Source organism: Homo sapiens, chromosome 15, assembly GCF_000001405.40.
Source record: "Homo sapiens chromosome 15, GRCh38.p14 Primary Assembly".
Taxonomy (NCBI): Eukaryota; Metazoa; Chordata; class Mammalia; order Primates; family Hominidae; genus Homo; species Homo sapiens.
Window position 1 is genome coordinate 68,648,867 of NC_000015.10, and position 16,848 is coordinate 68,665,714.

The 16,848-nt window shown below is 44.6% G+C and overlaps 1 protein-coding gene and 1 long non-coding RNA gene across 6 annotated transcripts in view, besides 2 other annotated features; both read left to right on the forward strand.

The window, feature by feature from the left end:
- The window catches only part of CORO2B (coronin 2B), a 209,434-nt gene that overhangs the window by 130,494 nt on the left and 62,092 nt on the right, over positions 1 to 16,848 (forward strand). The gene's annotated exons all lie outside the window — the stretch shown is intronic.
- On the forward strand, positions 1,684 to 16,792 carry LOC124903514 (uncharacterized). Its single transcript, XR_007064691.1, has 2 exons — positions 1,684 to 3,153; positions 15,070 to 16,792. It is a non-coding gene; the product is annotated as an uncharacterized LOC124903514 (long non-coding RNA).
- Positions 2,378 to 2,945: an enhancer, noted in NCBI's record as "H3K4me1 hESC enhancer chr15:68943583-68944150 (GRCh37/hg19 assembly coordinates)". NCBI's record gives its function as "activates a minimal SCP1, AML or CMV promoter by ChIP-STARR-seq in naive H9 embryonic stem cells {active_cell/tissue: H9 hESC(naive)}" and the evidence as "EXISTENCE:reporter gene assay evidence [ECO:0000049][PMID:30033119]".
- Positions 3,003 to 3,503: an enhancer, noted in NCBI's record as "OCT4-NANOG-H3K4me1 hESC enhancer chr15:68944208-68944708 (GRCh37/hg19 assembly coordinates)". NCBI's record gives its function as "activates a minimal SCP1, AML or CMV promoter by ChIP-STARR-seq in naive H9 embryonic stem cells {active_cell/tissue: H9 hESC(naive)}" and the evidence as "EXISTENCE:reporter gene assay evidence [ECO:0000049][PMID:30033119]".

A 16,848-nucleotide genomic window follows, 5' to 3' on the forward strand; every position in this document is an offset into this window, starting at 1 on the left:
TTTAAAGATGCATGTCTACTGACCTAGCAATTCCACTCTAGGAATTCATCCTACAGAAATATTCTCAAGTGTATTTAAAAAATACGTGTGCAGCATTTTTTAGTACTCGATTATTTTTACAAGCCTCAATTTTTAAATTATATTCAATAAAAATAAAGTTTCTCTGTCAAATTGCTTAAACGTTTCTAAACGCTTCCTCTCAATTTCTGTAATGGTAACAAAATGTTTTACACTGTCAGTAGCACTGGTCTGGAATATGATCACACTTTGTAAACACTTCATGGACAGCAGAAAAGAACGTGTTCTTTACAGAGTATGTCTATATATAGAAATATGCTATATATATACATATCAGGTGTATTTGATATATATCTTTTTTCAACTTTATTTGTTCACGTGCTGTAATATATTTTATTTAACTTGATTAATCATGGACTTATTGTGACCACTCACACTACCAATTGATTTCTGTTGTTTTCTCTCATTTCAAGAAGTTTTCACTTTACATGAGTACTGAGTGATTGTGTAGCAATTTTATGATAGTGAAAGGTTGGAAACAACCTGCAGGTCCATCATTAAGGAAATGGGGTAAACAAATTAGGGAAGAGCCACACAAAGGGACACTATGCAGTCATTAAAATGATGCTGTAGAGCAGTCTCGTTCTCCAGCGTTCAGTCTCAGGATCACTTTCCACTCTTGATTATTGAGGATCCCAAAGAACTTTTGTTTATATGGGTTATATCTGTCAATAGTTAGCATATTCAAAATAAAAATGAAGGAATTTTAAACTATGTATTTATTAACTTGCATAATGATAAGTCTATTTCATGTTCTCCTGAAAAACATATTTTTATTAAAAATAACTTTTTTTAAGACAAAAAAGTTAATGAGAAGAATGGCATCATTTTACACTTTTGCAAATCTCTTTAATATATGTCTGGCTTATTAGAAGACAGCTGGCTGGCTTTGCATATCACACATTATGCAGCCTTTGGAAAACCCCACTATACACTCAAGAGAGAGAATGAGAGTGAAGTGGCAGACAATGTCTTATTATTGGGAAAATACTTTTGACCCAATGGACTGCATTAAATGGTCTCGGGGATCTCCAGAGGTCCCCAGACCATACACTGAGGACCAGCGATGCAAAGTAATATTTAACAAGAGAAAACTATTTATATGATACACTGTTACGTGAAGAAATGCAATATGCGATTAATCACATTAAAAATATCTACCCCCTGTAATCCCAGCACTTTGGGAGGCCGAGGCGGGCTGATCACCCGAGGTCAGGAGTTCAAGACCAGCCTGACCAACATGGAGAAACCCCGTCTCTACTAAAAATACAAAATTAGCGGGGCATGATGGCAGGTGCCTGTAATCCCAGCTACTCAGGAAGCTGAGGCAGGAGAATTGGAGGCGGAGGTTGCGGTGAGCTGAGATCGCGCCACTGCTCTCCAGCCTGGGCAACAAGAGCGAAACTCTGTCTAAAAAAAAAAAAAAAAAAAAAAAAAAAAAAAAAAAAAAAAAAAAAAAAAATGGAGACATTCCTGGCCAACATGGTGAAACCCCCGTCTCCACTAAAAATACAAAACTTGGCTGGGCGTGATGGTGCGTGCCTGTAATCCCAGCTACTTGGGAGGCTGAGGCCGGAGAATCGCTTAAACCTGGGAGCCGGAAGTTGTAGTGAGCCGAAATCGCGCAACTGCACTCCAGCTTGGCGACAGAGTGAGACTCCGTCTCAAAAACAAAAACTATCTGTTTACCTATCTGGAAGCGACTGCAAAAATATACATCAAATGTCAAAAGTTGTTACCTCCCAAGTATTGGGACCATGAGTGCTCTTTAATTTTCTTTTCCCTTAGCTATATGATCTAAATTTCTTACAATCAGTACTTAACGTTTTGTACTTTCGAAAAAATAGAGGCAATTCGCTGATGTGAAGAGGGAGCCCCTGAAGTTTCAGAGGCCCTACAGGCCAGAGAGGGGCTCAGTGCAGGGTGTGCACTGGGTAAAGACGAGGGGCCCCATCCGCTAGGTTTGCCTGCTGCCCTCTGGTCAGATGAATGTCTTCATCTGCCTTGAACATCAGCCCTCCCTTATGTATGTTGCAAATGTTTCCTCCCAGAGTAACACCTGAATATGGGCTCGCGGTAGAAAGTTCAAACAGAACTGCAGGACCCATAGTGAAGGAATGGCGAGGGGTGGGGTGGGTTACTGACTCCGTGGGAGGGTGAGGCAGCTCCTTGATCTGCGAGGCTCAAGTAAGTAGTTTGAGGCAGGACCCCGAGTCTGGGGACTATGGGACGCAGGGTCCCGCCTCCAAAGCGGGATGACTTAGGTATTGGAGCCAGCGCCGGCTTCCCCTGCCGCCCAAGCCATGGCCGTCCCTCTACCGCCCCCTGTGGTCAGGGCTGGGCCTGCAGGCGTGGGACAGCCTCTAGGTTGGTGCAGGGGGTGCGGGGAGAGGGAGGCAGTCAGGCCCAATGCGGAACCCTTCGTTGATCTGGCAGCGGTGGAGATGTTGTTCCACACTAGCCGATTTTCTAGGAAGGAAAAGGGTCAGATTATTTTAGCTCCAGTTTTCACCCCCTCAGTTTGATAGAAATTTCCCTGAAAACAGTTTCCTGTATTCAATACAAACACAGAAAAGATTTGGACCATTTCTTGGTGACTGCAAATCATCACTTGGAGCGTTAGTTATAAGCTATTAATTCATGGTGGGACAGTCTTGTCCCTACGCTGAATGGCTCCAGATTTTTGTCTTGAGCAAACAGCAGGCCGCAGAGAATTGTCTCAGTTCTTCTCTAAGTTTTTTCCCTCCACTATCCAGCATATCCTCTCATTCCTTGCTTGCTTTTCTAAGAGATTTGGACCAGAAGAGAACAGCACCTGCCCAGGATCCCCAAATCCCTGCCCCGAGGCCACACCTCCTGAGGGAGGCTCAGAACCTTCCACAGAGCTTTTCTCTCCTTGCTCCATTTCCTTCAAAGCCAGCTTGCTTGAGATTTCCATATTTATGATTAAAAATTCTTCTGCAGAGTAGGAAGCCGTGTCTACAACAACTACAAACAACAACCGCGAAGATGCTTTGCCTTTGTACAGCACTCTCAAGTTCCAGCAAACTCTATGTTCATTGATCCTCTCAGCAGGTGGGTACAGCCATCCCCACCTCACACTTGGGGAAGCTGAGACGGCACAGCCGGGCATACAGTATGGACCCCAAGCCAGCTCACTTATTTCTGAATCCATGATTCTTTCCACCACCCATGATGCTGGTAAACAGATAAGTTCTGGCTGGCAGATCTCGAAGGAGTGGCTCTGTCTTCCCCAGGTCTCTTATTCGGGCTGCCGTTGTGAAGGCCAGTGCCTGTTTTTTCCCCTAGTTAACATTCAGCTGCCAGCTCTCTGGAGTGGAATGTTAAGCTGCAGATGGGGGAGCAATCAGCACCCTGATTGCCTGGCACAGCTGGAGGGGCCTTATGAATATTCCAGAGAGCAGGCACTGTGCCCAGCAGCCTGATTAACCACTGGGGCCTCCCCAGGGGCACCACCCCTTTCCTGCTGCACTTCACCCGGACTGCCTGCCACCTCCAGATCCAGGCCACAGGAAGAACAGGGCTAGAAACAGAGCTACCTGCTACCCCAACTGGCACCTGGCAGAAAGAGAAGAAACCCGGCCTAGATATCAAGAGTCTGGGTTCTCCCTATAACCCAGCCATTCTCAGTCCCAGCTGTACACCGGGTCTCTGGGGCTGGGATGGTGCATTCTCCTTCCCCACCACAGTAGTGTGGCCTGAGGAGCTTTTGAGGATCTAACATACCTGCTCTGTTTGAATCTCACCTCAAGTTCTATGATGAAAGTATACTCATTCTCCTCGTTTTACAGATAAAGAAACAGAGGCTCAGAAAAGTCAAGTAACTCCTTTAAGACTGCACGGCCCACAAGTAGCAGAGTCAGAATTTAGCCCAGGGCTCTCCCAGTCATGTGCCTGCCCACCTTACAGAGGTTTAGAGGGAAGCATTTCTATAAATGTGCCTTGTATTACTATTACTGCCATTTGGATGTCTTAGAGGATTTCCTTGAACATTAATTCAACCAACACTTTATTACACCTCTCTGATGAGCTGACACCCCATGTGTCCATCTCTTTTGGAAGCCGAGAGAGTAGATGTTTCCAAACTCCATACAAGTGCAGCAGATCTTGGGGAAGCTTACTCTCTGAAGGAATGAAGCAACAATTCTAGTTGGCAAGGAGAGGCAGGGGTGGGGTCCTGGAGCAGCGGTCCAGACAAGATAGCATCACTCCAGCAGTCAGGAGGCAAAATTGGCCCACCGACCCACCCATTCATCTAACAGATGGGTATTGAATGCCTGCTAGGTTTCAGTCAGAGTTCCTGGACCGAAAAGGAAGCAGTAAACAAGACCAAGTCTTGACCACCTAGAGTTTGTAGTCCAATTGGCTACCTCTCTTGGACCGAGAGCCCCCAACGGTGGGAAACTTGTCTGGTTTGCACAGGGGTGGCTCACAGTAGATCCTCAGCCAAGGGGCCATTGGGCTGACCTATGGCCAAATCACAGAGGCAGGTGCCCATCTACTCTGAGATGGGGTCTCTTCTTTGCTGATCCTGGCAGCCCATCCCCACCAGATCCTAGGGAGAATGCAGCACCATACAGGGGCTGCCCACACTGAAAGGGGCTGCATCCTCCCCTGAAAGCCCTTAGAACGATATTGCATGGCCCAGCTGGTCTTAACTCTGGAGCTGAATCTAGAAGTTGGTGGATCATTTAGCTCCATAGCTCACAGCATGTCTGAGGCCTAATATTAAAAGAAGGGTCAGGAGGAAAGGTGCCCAGCTCAGTACTGAGGACTGTAATAAAATAATATTTTGTTTGCTTACCCAAAGCCTTCGTTCCCATTCCAGATTTCTGTAACACCCCATCACTCCCCCACAATCAGCACTGAGCTCCTCAAACCTTCTCTCCCCCAGGAAAAAAAAAAAAATGCCTGAATCTTCATCACTGCTCTGCAGTGAGGTCTCCGCCCCTCCAAGGGAATTCAGAGAGCCTTTTCCAAATCCATTTTTCAGATCTTTCCTCAATCGTTCTTTGTTCTTCAAGCTGCCTTCCGCTTGGTGCAATTTGCATCTCAAAGCCCATGACAGCCTGAATGTACAGTAAGTGACTTTGGAAAAGGGAGGAGAATTGTGCTCTCAAAGAGAAAAGTCGCAACTTTATTTCATTTGTCTGAGGCTCGAGATTGACAGCTTGCTTTGTGTTTTTCCTTTTTTGGAAGAATGGCTGCTGATTTTTGAGGAAAGTGAAGGCGAGCCCTTCTGCAGAAATGGAAGTGTCGCTCTCTTATTTTATTACAAGGTTATGGGATGGGTGTTCTCTGGATTTGGAGTCCAGGGGGCCAGAGATGCAGCCTGGCTAGTGGGCATCATGGGAGGTCAAAGAATCCATCCCTCTCCCTTGGGCCTGGGTCTACAGCTGAGCTGTCTTCCTGGCTCCATTCCTCTCATTCCTTGCAGAGCCAGGGAGGCTGGAAATTATAGTAGCTGGTTCACTAGGACTCTGTGAAGTCAAGCCATGGGCCCTAACTCTGCCCAGAGGCATTGCCCTGGCCTCTGAAGCATCTGGCAGTCTGCTTGATCTGCTACCCATTTTCCTTCTAGGGCCTGGAGCCTCCCATACCTTTGGAAGTTGTAGCTCCACCCCTTAGCTGTGAAACCCTAGGCATCTAACATCTGTTTCTCAGTTTCCCTGTTTGTGAAATAATAATAGTGCATGTTTCTCAGGGTGCTGTGATGATTAAATAAGGTGCTGTAAAAAGCACTTAGCACGTAGCCTGGCCCATAGTACGTGCTAGTAAACGGGAGCCATGGTGATGCCAAGGACTGTTACCCATCTCCAGGCCACCCCATCCTAGCAATAGCCTGTTAGCTTTGGTGGGATTTGGAGCCTGTGGCCAGCAAGTGTGAGCCTTGTCTTTGGCCTTCCTGCTACTGTTGTCTGGCACAGTCCCTGAGTATGCCTAGCAGTGAGCTACCTCGAGGGGAAGGTACCCATAGGCAAGTCATTTGTGCCTAAAGGGGTACAGGGATGGTGGTGCAGGGTCTCCAGGGAGGCATGACTGAGGTGGCCATGCCAGGCTGGGTGCCTGGAGATGGGGGATTCTAGGGAGGGTCCAGGGCTGCCATGGAGCCTGGTGGTGCCCCTCTCAAGCCAGCCTGCCTGTTTATCTGGAGTTGGACTGCCTGCCAGGGTTTAATGAGGGAAGGCATGTAAAGGTTTTACCACAGTGCCTGGCGTACAGCAAGTGCTCAACAAATCTGAGCTATATTTCTTCTATTATTAAAAGATCCAGGTTGGTGGGAGAAAACGGTGCTGGAATTGAGACGGAGGCTCCTTGGAGTCTAGCTGGCTCAGATGGAGGCACAGCCCCATTGAATGAGCATGAGCTCTGTGCTCTGAGCCAGGCTGAAGCCACACAGTCCTCACAGTCCATGCCTCTCGCCGGCCCTCCTCCCCAGTGCCCCAATCCCAGTCTTACATTGACACAATGCCAGAGTCAGAGGGGACCCCAGGGATCATAGATTCCAAGCGCCTTGTTGTGCCCACGACAAGTCCTGATCCCAAAAAGGAGAAGTGTCTTATCCAAGGTTGCATGACATGCCTGGACACCCTCTGGCCCCCTTCCCCAGAATCCTTGCCCTCAGCCACTTCTCAGAGTCCACACTCACATCTCCTAAGGTGTCGATGATAACAATGGCTTTCCTTTACTAAGGGAATTTGCATTTGGTTAAGGTTAGGGTGAGATTTAAGGAGACCAAACTCTTGAGACCCAAAGGAATGTGTTGGTAATAGTGGAATTCCAGTCTGCAGGAGATCTGTCCACAAAGGGCGGCCATCCCCAAGCCCCTCAACAGGAGGCCAGGTAGAGACTTGCTGTTGTGTCTCATCTGAGCCTGTAGCTTTGGAAGCACCCTCATGTGTCAGTGACTCTCAGCACTTCAAGGAACAAAAATGATTTAGGGTGCAGGAGGGGTGTGGGGAGTGGAACTAAGGTTGCCTGGCTTGAAACAGAGCATCTCCCTGGGGGCAGTTGGGGCCCAGAGGCCTTGGCCAAGGCTCCTACCACTGGCCTTTCTCCTGGCAGCTTCCAGAACAATGGCTGCCTGTTTGCCCTGCCTGAGAAACTTCAGGCCTGATTTAGTCCTTAGGGCAGTTTGCACTTCCAGATGGCCTTCCTCATGTCCCTGACTGCTGCCCACCCCTCCCCCTCCCCCTCGCACCGTCCCCCCCGCCCCCCGACCCAACCAACCCGCTCCCATCCCAAGGCTCTTGACTTGATGGAGGGATGTGGGAGGAAGAAGGGTTGGTCCCAGCATTCACAGCCTCACGTGTCAAGAGACAGATCTGTGACATCAGCATCACATAGCACTTCTTGTCTCCCCCCTTTCCATTCCACTCAGCCAAGACCTTGATTTCAGTTGCTAAGCAACCTGTGCCTGAGTTTCCAAGTGGGTCGTCAGGTGAGCATGAGAGGTGGAAGGTATGGAGGGGTAGTGCTTAAAACTCTGCAATTTATAGATGGAGACACTGAGGCCCAGAAAGGGCAAGACACTTGGTCAAGGTTGCACAGCTAGTTAGTGCCCCATGTGTCAGATGATTGATCCTGGCAGCAAATGCTTCAGAACCATCCCATTTCCCACTCCTCCTTCCCCCACCAAGAGAAGCACCCAGACAACAGCAACACCTTAGAGACTTCCCGTGAGAGGCTTCCATCTACCTAGACAGGGAGGCAGTGTGCCCAGTGATTAGGGGTGCAGGGTCTGCATCAGCTGGCCTGGCTTTCAACCCTGACTCTACCATTTGCCAGCTATGTTCTTTGGGCAAGTTACCTAACTGATCTGTGCCTCAGTTTCCTTCGCTGTAGAATGAGAGACATGCTAGTCCTAACCCCGAGGCTGTTCTGAGGATTCAGTGAGGTGTTACATAAAGCCTGGAAGGTGCCTGGCTCAGGGCAAACCTTTCAGTGCAAGTCTGCTGGTGTGATCCTGGCTTGCTGGGCTCTGATGCACCCTCCCCACCTAGGGTCCAGTCCCCCCGATCCCCAGTTTGCTCATTTATCTCATGAGAATTCTGCCTTAATGTTATGAGGTCACAGATGGAGTACAAAAGTTTGCAAACTTTAGTTTTTAACACTGAATAATTTTATTCAAATAAAACAGATGAACTTTTGGGGGAGTCAGGGATAGATCCTTTTGGCAGTCTAGAAAAACCCATAGACCCCTTCACAGAATAAAGTTTTTAAGTATACAAAATAGGATTACGCAAGAAGCCAATTATTTTGAAACACAGGCCAGGTACAGTGGCTCACACCTGTAATCCCAGCACTTTGGGAGGCCAAGGTGGAAGGATTGCTTGAGTGCAGGAGCTTGGGACCAACCTGGGCAACATAGCAAGACACCATCTCTACGAAATACAAAAAAATTAGCCAGGTGTGGTGGCATATGCTAGTAGTCCCAGATACTCGGGAGGCTGAGGTTGGAGCATCACTTGAACCCGGGGAGGTTGAGGCTGCAGTGAGCTGTGCTCATGCCACTGCACTCTAGCTTAGGTGACAAAATGAGATCCTGTCTCAAAAAAAAAAAAAAAAAAAGGAAATACAGTTATCAAAATGTATACCAGAATTGTGCTGTAATAAGTGCTTTTCTATCAATGCATTACGCCCCATGATTGAGTGTAGGACACAGTAACGACTCTAATTTCAAAGTCATGATGTGCATACATATTTTGAGTTAATAGTAGCAGAAGTTATCTGAAAATATCTGTGATACCTGTTGATGAACACATTATAGGTTCAAGTAATCCTGTTGGGGTTTGCTGCCTACATTTATACACGAAAGAAATGTGAGGTTTCAGTTAGAGGCTAGTGAAAATATAGATGTAAGTTGTCTCCTACCCAGACTCACAAACCTCCTAACAGGGTCTGTGGCCCCACTCAGATTAAAGACCTTGGAAATAAAATCAGAGGGAAATATTATTGTATAAAATCAGGACAGGCAGAACTGCTGTGGCTGAAAGTTGGTGGGGAGGGAGCAATGCAATAGACCTGAGCACCCTTCACTCCTGTGGGGCTCCCCAAACTCCTAAGCTTCACTGGCAGTTAGGAAACCTAGCTTCTCTGCCTGGTTCTTTGTAACCTTGGGTGAGTTCCTTTGCCTTTCTAGGCCTCAGTTTCCCCATCTGTAAAATGAGATGTTGGGCCCGTTGTCCTCCAAGGTCTCGCCAGCTCTGACATTCTGAAACTCTGTGCTTCTCCTCCCCTGGAGACAAAAACCCCAGAAGCTTGGGTCGGTAGGAGCCCTGGACCAGGGAGAGGGAACAGCTGGGGCCAGGCTGGCCAGCTCCCAATTGTTCAATGGAGGAGGAGGGCGAGATGCATGGTGCTCTCCAAAGCGACAGCTGGGTGAGCCTGGCTGGGGGCCTCGTCCCCGCCTGCCATCTGTGCCTCCTTCCTGCCTTCGGCCAGTGAGGGGCCAGTGGGGGTTGTGGTTGGGGCCTAGGCCAGATAACAACCTGGGTAGAAGCGGGAGGGGCTGGCCAAGAAAATGCAGGGAAGAGTCTGGTTGCTCACTCTTGGGTGCTTAACTCTTTGCACCCACTCCCCACTTTTTCCCACCCTGATCTATAGAATTCTGGAAAGGAAGTGATACACAGCCCTAGGTCCACCCGAGCTGCTTAATGGCTCTGTGACCTTGGGCAAGTTACTTAACCTCCCTGAGCTTCATTCTTCTTTGTCCAGTAGACATCATTCCTAAGACCTACTCTTTGGGATTGGAACAAGGTGTAAATGAAACAGAGTAGATAAAGTACCCCAGCTCAGTGCTGACTCAGTGCCATGGGCCTGTCCAAAGAGAGCTTATACCTGGGACTGTGAACTGCTCCCGCTGATCAGAATGCAACATGGAGGCCTGATGAGCCCCTGTGCAGTGTTTGTGAAGTGCTGTCGCTGTCCCCAGGCACAGGCGGCTTTGCAGCCAGCTTTCTCTCCTACACGCCTTTGCCCCGGCTGTTTCTCCCTCTGGATTGCCCTCGCCCACCAATATCCACATGCATACAACTCTACCCACTTAGAATAACTTATCTATTTATAAATAAGTACTTATATTTAGGCAAAACCTTCATGCAGTTGGACAGTTTAAACTTCAGAAGCAAAGGACCTGCAGTGGACGGTCTGCCTTTCAATCCTAGCTTCCAGTTACTCAGTTCCTCCAGTAGGAGGGAATTGCTGTTAGCAGTTACTGGAGTGTCTTTCCCAAAATTATTTATATGTACATACTTAAACCTGGAAGAGTGTGAGGGATAAGGGCGCTGACCCCTGCACCATTGAAAATCCACATATAACTTTCAACTCCCCCAAAACTTAACTCTGCTGACCAGAAGCCTTACCAATAACATAAACAGTCAATTAACACATATCTTACATGTTATATGTGTATATACTAAATTCTCACAATAAGTCAGCTAGAGAAAATGTTATTAAGGAAACTGACTGGACACAGTGGCTCATGCCTGTAATCCCAGCACATTGGGAGGCCCAGGCAGGAAGATCACTTGAGGCCAAGAGTTCGAGACCAGCCCAGGCAACACAGTAAGAGCCCCTCTCTAAAAAAATTTTTTTGATTAAATTTTTAAAAAGAAAACCATAAGGAAGAGAAAATATATTTACTATTCATTAAGTGGAAGTGAATCATTATAAAAGTCTATCCTCGGCCAGACATGGTGGCTCATTCCTGTAATCCCAGCACTTTGGGAGGCCGAGGCGGACAGATCACCTGAGGTCAAGTGTTCAAGACCAGCCTGGCCAACATGGCGAAACCCCGTCTCTACTAAAAATACAAAAATTAGCCAGGTGTGGTGGTGCACGCCTGTAGTCCCAGCTACTCAGAAGGCTGAGGCAGGAGAATCACTCGAACCCGGGAGGTGGAGGTTGCAGTGAGCCAAGGCCTGGGTGACAGAGCGAGACTGTGTTTCAAAAAACAAAAAAAGTCTATCCTCATCTTCATGCTGAGTAGGCTGAAGGGGAGGAGGAAGAAGAGGGGTTGGCATTGCTGTCAGAGGTGGAAGTGGTGGTGGAGGTGGAAGGGAAGACAAGAGAGGCAGGCAGGCACCCTCAGTGTAACTTTACAGAAATATATCGTAATTTCTGTCTGGCTTTTTCATTTCTCTAAAAATGTTTCTATATGGTACCAATTCTCCTTTGACCATGTGCCTGTATCATGGGAGGGTTCATGTCATGAAAGAAGTCAAGAGCAGTCTTGAATAATTGGACCCTTCTGCCAGATTGTCTAATGTCAATTTGTTTGCTGGTGCTGCTTCTTCTATGTCTTCTTCCTCATTGTCTGGCATTGCTTCAGAAGCACTCATCTCCATCAAGTTGTCTTCTGTTCATTCCTCTAGTGTGATGTCTGTTAGCTCTTAAGCTTCTTCAAGATTCATATCTTTTTTTTGGCAGGCTCTTGCTCTGTTGCCGTGGCTGGAGTGCAGTGGCATGATCATGGCTCACTGTAGCCTCAACGTCCTGGGCTCAAGTGATGCTCTCACCTCAGCCTCCCAAGTAGCTGGGACTTCAGGTGTGCACCACCACACCTGGCTAATTTTTTTATTTTTTGTAGAGATGGGGTTTCACCATGTTGTCCAGGCTGGTCTTGAACTCCTAGGCTCAAGCAATCCACCCATCTTGGCTTCCCAAAGTGTTGGGATTACAGGTATGAGCCACTGCACCCAGCCAAGATTCATATTTTGAACCCTTCACTCCTACACACCTTTTTTACATATCCACAATCTCTTTCATTATTTCCTTGAATGGCTCTGTGGTAAATCCGGTGAGGTCATGCACAACATCTGGACACCGTTTTCTCCAGTGGGAATTTATTGCCTCAGGCTTGATGGCTTTCACAGCTTTTTCTGTAACAATGATGGTATCTTCAACTATGTAATCCTTCCAGATTTTCATGTTGTTCTCTCTATAGAGGTTCTCTTTCTTAGTGTTGACAATCTTTTCCATACAGTACCATGTGTAATGTGTAATGAGTCTTTTTTTTTTTTCTGTTTTTTGAGACAGACTTTTGCTGTCGCCCAGGCTGGAGTGCACTGGAGTGATGTCAGCTCACTGCAACCTCCATCTCCTGGGTTCAAGCGATTCTCCTGCCTCAACCTCCCCAGTGGCTGGGATTACAGGTGCCCGCCACCATGCCCAGCTAATTTTTGTATTTTTAGTAGAGACGGGGTTTCACCATGTTGGCCAGGCTGGTCTCGAACTCCTGTCCTCAAGTGATCCACCCACCTCGGCCTCCCAAAGTGCTGGGATTATAGGCGTGAGCCACCGCATCTGGTCAGTACCATGTGTAATAAGTCTTAGGAGTTCTTATGATTTCCTGATCTAGAGGCTGAATTAGAAACATTGTGTTTAGGAGCAAGTTGAACTCATGGGGTTCTGGGTGGCCAGAGATATTGTCCAATATCAAAAGAACTTTAAAAGGCAGTTTTTCAGGGACAAAACATTCAACCAATCCAGAAAAAGTGTTCTGGTTATCCAGGCCTTCTTGTACAAAGACTACCAGCTGGTGTTAATCTTTTCCCTTCAAGACTTGGGAGTTAGCAGCTTTACAGATAAGGGTAGTCCTGATCATAAACCTGACTACATTTGCACAAAACAGTAGAGTTAGCCTACCCCTTTCTGCCTTAAATCCTGATGCTTGTTTCTTTTCCTCACTAACAAGTGTTCTTAATGGCATATTTTTCCAGAACAGGGCACTTTCGTCTGCATTAAAAACCTGTTCAGGGCCTGGCGTGGTAGCTCACGCCTGTAATCCTAGCACTTTGGGAGGCCGAGGCAAGTGGATCTCTTGAAGTCAGGAGTTCAAGACCAGCCTAGCCAGCATGGCAAAACCCCATCTCTACTAAAAATACAAAAATTAGCCAGGTGTGATGGCGTGCACCTGTAATCCCAGGTACTCAGGAGGCTGAAGCAGGAGAATCACTTGAACCCAAGTGGTGGAGGTTTCAGTGAGCTGAGATCATGCCATTGCACTCCAGCCTGGGTGACAGAGTAAGACCCTGTCTCAATAAATAAATAAATAAATAAATTAATTAATTAATAAAAATCTGTTTAGGCAGATGTCCTTTCTCTTCAGTGATTTTCTTAATGGCTTCTAGGAACTCATCTGCTGCTTCCTGGTTGGCAGAAGCTGCTTTTCCTGTTATCACGACATTTTATGAGCCAATTTTCTTTCAAAATGATCAAACCACCCTTTGCTGATGTTAAATTATCTGACTTTAGATCGTTCAACTTCCTTTTGCTTTGTTTTCATATAATGATTTCACCTTTTCCGGAATCATATTAGAATCTATAGGTTATACCTTTCTTATAGTAATCCTGCACCCACATAAAAGCTGTATTTTCACAATGAGATAAGGTATTTTGAAAAGTGCAGGGTTTTCATGCCTGCTGGCATAACTCAGGAATAACTTCATGAATTTCCTTTTATTTTTTTACAATAGTCCTTAAGCTGGATTCATTTATCTTGAAATGAGGTCTGCAGTTGTCATTCAAGGTTTACACTATTGCACTAAACACGATGAAAAATACATCAAGAACCTCAAGAGATCACTTTGTATTGCCATATGCAATTTATTGGAGAGATGAATTGAATCATATACATGGAGATGATTAGCCTCACATGCATTTTAAGCAGATACTTGCAACACTTGAGCTTCCTGCAATAGCAACAAGAGCAGGCTACAAAATTATTACAGTAGTACAGTAGATGCCACAATTTGGTGCAGTTATGACTTAATACTGTGTCATTAACATTTGTTTACATTTTTCTCAACTGCAAATGACACCATGTATGATCTGAAAGTGTGTGTATGTTTTGATAAATTTCAGCTTCTTATAATAGATTTGTATATATTTTATGCCAGTAAATGATAAGACAGACTAGTATCTACAGATATTCTATGCATTTATGACATACCTTTTTCTTAATTTTTTTTTTCCTAAACAGGCTAACACAGGACTTTTTCTTAAATTTTTTAAAATATTTCTAGGCTACCTGGTTTATCGTGAGCTTTTTCAAATTGTCGCTAAACTCAAAGAAATTTCCAATTTATTGAAAAAAAATCTGTGGATAAATGGACCCAAACAATTCAAACCCGTGTTGTTCAGAGGTCAATCTTTTTTACACGAAGATCACCAACTACCTACATTGTTCTCTCTACATCTTGCTTTTTTACATGTAATTATATATCTTGGAGATCTTTTCACATCAAATATAGAAAGAGTTTCCTTGCTCATTTTTATAGCTACACAGTATTCCATTGTTTGGATGGTCATCATTTGTCCAGCCACATTTTGCCTATTGATAAGTATTTCCATTGTTTCTTAAGTTTCACTATCATAGACAGTGCTGCAGAGCATAACTGTGGACACGCTTTATTTCATGTGCATGCAGGTACGTCTGTAGAATAAATCCCTAGAATTTAAATGGATAGTTGAAGAGGTACGTGCTTTCTTCCAGGAAACACACACACATACACGCGCACACACACGCAGAAGAATTTCCTCCTGACATTGTAGTAGGAAGTTTTCTTAACAGGACACAGAAAGCAATAGCTATAAAACAATCAATAAATTGAACTTAATCAAAATTAAAAACTTTTGCTCATCGAAAGATTCATTAACAAAGTGAAAAGGCAAGCCACAGACAGAGGAGCAATATTTGCATTGCATATATCTGACAAGGGATTAGTATTCATAATATGTGACTGGATTTAAAAATGAGAAAAAAAAGTGGACAAGACTTGAATAAGCATTGCATGAAAATGGATATCCAAATAGCCAATAGGCCTGTGAAAAGGTACTACTTTCCCAGAGTAGTTTCAATTAGCATTCTTATTAAGACAGAAGTTGAAATCTCTTTATGTGTTAAGACCTACTTGCATTTATTTTTGTGTGAATTGTTTATATGCTTTGTTCATCATTACTCACCAGGAAGATGAAAATTAAAACCATGAGTTACTACTGTACATCCACCAGAAAGGCCAAAATTTAGAAAGCTGATAATATCAAGTGTTGATGAGGATGAGGAGCAGCTGGAACTCTCATACTACACTGCTGGGAGTGTACAGTGTTACAGCCACTTTGGAAAACTGGATGACAGAAGTATTCTACATTTTGATCATGGTGGTGGGTTTATGAATGTACACGTGCAAAAATTCAATGAGCCTTACAGCTAAGATCTCTGTAATTTTTTTTTTGGATACAAGTATATCTTGGTTAAAAGTTTCAGAGTTGGGGGAAAGGTGTGTGCTTCTGAAATGTTGACAAAATTGCTTTCCGTTGAGATTGCAATAATTTATATTTGAACCAGCAAAGTGTAAGTGTGCCTGTTCATTTAACCTCTTAAAAACTGAGAGTTATTGGCGGGGCATGGTGGCTCACGCTTGTAATCCCAGCACTTTGGGAGGCCAAGACAGGCGGATCACGAGGTCAGGAGATCGAGCCCATCCTGGCTAACACAGTGAAACTCCATCTCCACTAAAAATACAAAAAATTAGCCGGCCATGGTGGCAGGCACCTGTAGTTCCAGCTACTTGGGAGGCTGAGGCAGGAGAATGGCGTGAACCCGGGAGGCAGATCTTGCAGTGAGCCAAGATTGTGCCACTGTACTCCAGCCTGAGGGACAGAGCGAGACTCTGTCTCAAAAAAAAACCAAAAACCAAAAAACAAAAAAACCTGAGTGTTATCATATGTTTTAATTTTTTGCCAAGCTGATGAGTGGGAAACTTTGTCAGAGTAGTTTCAATTAACATTTTTATTAAAAATGAGGTTGAAAATATCGTCGTATGCTTACAATCTATTTGCATTTCCTTTTTGTGTGAATTGTCTGTCCATATTCTTCACCTATTTTTTATAGGGTCTTTGATTAATTTCTTATTGATGGAAGAAGTCCTTTATATGTTAGGGAAATGAGCCTTTTGGAATATGAGTTGCAAGTATACGTTTCAAATGGTACTTTTTGCAGTGCAGATTTATTTGTTTACATTTCAAGTATTTAAGTTTACCAGTCTTTTATGGCTTCTGGATCTTGGGCCATAGTTAGAAAGGCTTTCTCTGAGATTATAAAGAAGTAACCTTTTTACTAGGCCTTTCACTACTTTTAGAATTTCATTCTTATATTTAAATCTTTGGTGCATTTTGAACTTATCTTGGTGTAAAGAATGAGGTATAGATTAACTTTTTTTCCCCCAGGTATCTATCCAGTTGAAATAATTCCAGGTAATGAGTAATCCTTTCTTTCCCCTACTGATTTGAGATTCAGGCTTTGCTGCATTCTACATTTCTGAATGTATTTGGGTTTATTTTACAGACTGTCCATTATTTTCTACTTAATAGTCTTGTTATTCATGTACCAGTACCACAATGCTGTGTTACTAAGACTTCATAATATGTTTTAATATCAACAGGGATAGTCACCACTCATTGTGGTCTTTTCTCAAACGTAGTTGGCTCTTCTAGCTTATATATTTTAATATATAATTTTAGGATCTGCTTATATAGATAGAAAATATTGATATTTTATTGGGATTATGTTAAATTGATAAATTAAAGAGAATGTCAACCTTATGATGTTGAGTCTAAATATCCATGATCATAGTTTACTTTTTGTAGTCCTTTGTGTCCTTTTGTGGTGTATTAAAAGCTTCTTCACATAGCTCTTATTCATTTCTTGTTACACGTATTTACCTTTTTTATTGTATTATATATCCT